Here is a 1,586-nt window from a genome sequence, read left to right on the forward strand (position 1 = left end):
CATGTTCGCTAGGAGGTTCTCCAAAGATCCAAATCACCTAAGCATGCACACCTTTCCCTTAAGAGACAACATATGTTCTAATGACCAAGCCTTACAAGTAAGTAATTTAGCGAGATAGAGAGTAATGTCATTGTCAATCCTGTGGCCTGGCATATTGGTCATCTTTAATGACTCACTGAATCCTTGCCCCTACAGAATGTTTGTTTGCTGCTTTGTGAAAACCCTTGTCTTTACATTTCTGTGTCTGCATCCATAAACTGTCATCATTATTCCACCTCTCTGAGCCATTCACTAACTCACAGATGGAGAATGAGAAGCATTGCACGTATTGGTATATTGATATTGGGCACTTTTGTGTCTGGTCCATGTGCATGTGTTCTGCCTGGCACACTGATGCACACACCTGGTCTCACTTTCTGCCTTCATGATTTTCTAGATTTAGGACAGATATTATTTATTTTTGCTGCCCCACTCACATTCATTCAAACTTCTTTTACTAAAGCAATACTGTGATGCCTGTAATCTCAGCACTTTGGGAGGCCAAAGCAGGCAGATCACGAGGTCAAGAGATTGAGACCATCCTGGCCAACATGGTGAAACCCTGTCTCTACTAAAAATCCAAAAATTAGCTGGGTGTGGTGGTGTGCACCTGTAGTTCCAGCTACTCGGGAGGCTGAGGCAGGAGAATTGCTTGAACCTGGGAGGTGGAGGTTGTAGTGAGCCGAGATCGTGTCACTGCACTCCAGCCTGGTGACGGAGCGAGACTCTGTCTCAAGAAAAAAAACAAAAAACAAAAACAAACAAACAAAATACTGCGATTTATTTATTTATTTATTTTGTGGGGTGGGAAGGACTCACTTTTTCAAGGCTCTTCACCCATGAGGTTTGGATGGAATTGACTTCACCTCCAGCCACTGTGGTGGACTCTAATTGGCCCAATTAGAATAATGCATCCCCCTTACTTGGCTCAGAGCCAGCAAGATATAAAAAGGCTATTGTTAGGTCTTTGTGAAACACGCAGGTATAATTGCTACTGTACTTGTAGCTGGAAGAAGTGTCATGTTGGAACTGATGCTGCCATCTTGCTGCAACACATGATTTGAGGATGAAGCCAACCTGACACTTAGAGAACAGACCCAAGAAAGAGAGTGAGAAAAGCAGAGTCCAGTAAAATCAACTGAGTTTTTGAACCCAATCCTACCCCTGGTATTAGTTTTCCTATTTCAGAAATATTTCCTTATTAATTAAACCAATTTGGGTTGTGTTTTTGGCCATTTTCCATTGGAAAGACATTAACTGTTATACTTTGCCAACCCTGCCAGGCAGAATGGATTCCTCCCTTCTCTGCATTCTCAAATGCTTTGTTTATAGCACTATTAGATCACTTCTCAAATGGTTTATAGTTGGTTATATGAGTTTGTAAGCCTCTGGAGGGTACTAACCATGGCTAATTCCGCTTTACATCTCCCCAGCTTCAAGCACAGTGCCTGGCACATGGTAGATACTCAATGAGGGTTTGTTCAATTAACTAACAACTTTACTGCTCTTCCTCTGTTAGCTTCAAATTGGTTTCCCTCTCTGAGTTT

The sequence above is a fragment of the Homo sapiens genome, chromosome 2 (assembly GCF_000001405.40).
Source record: "Homo sapiens chromosome 2, GRCh38.p14 Primary Assembly".
Classification (NCBI taxonomy): Eukaryota; Metazoa; Chordata; class Mammalia; order Primates; family Hominidae; genus Homo; species Homo sapiens.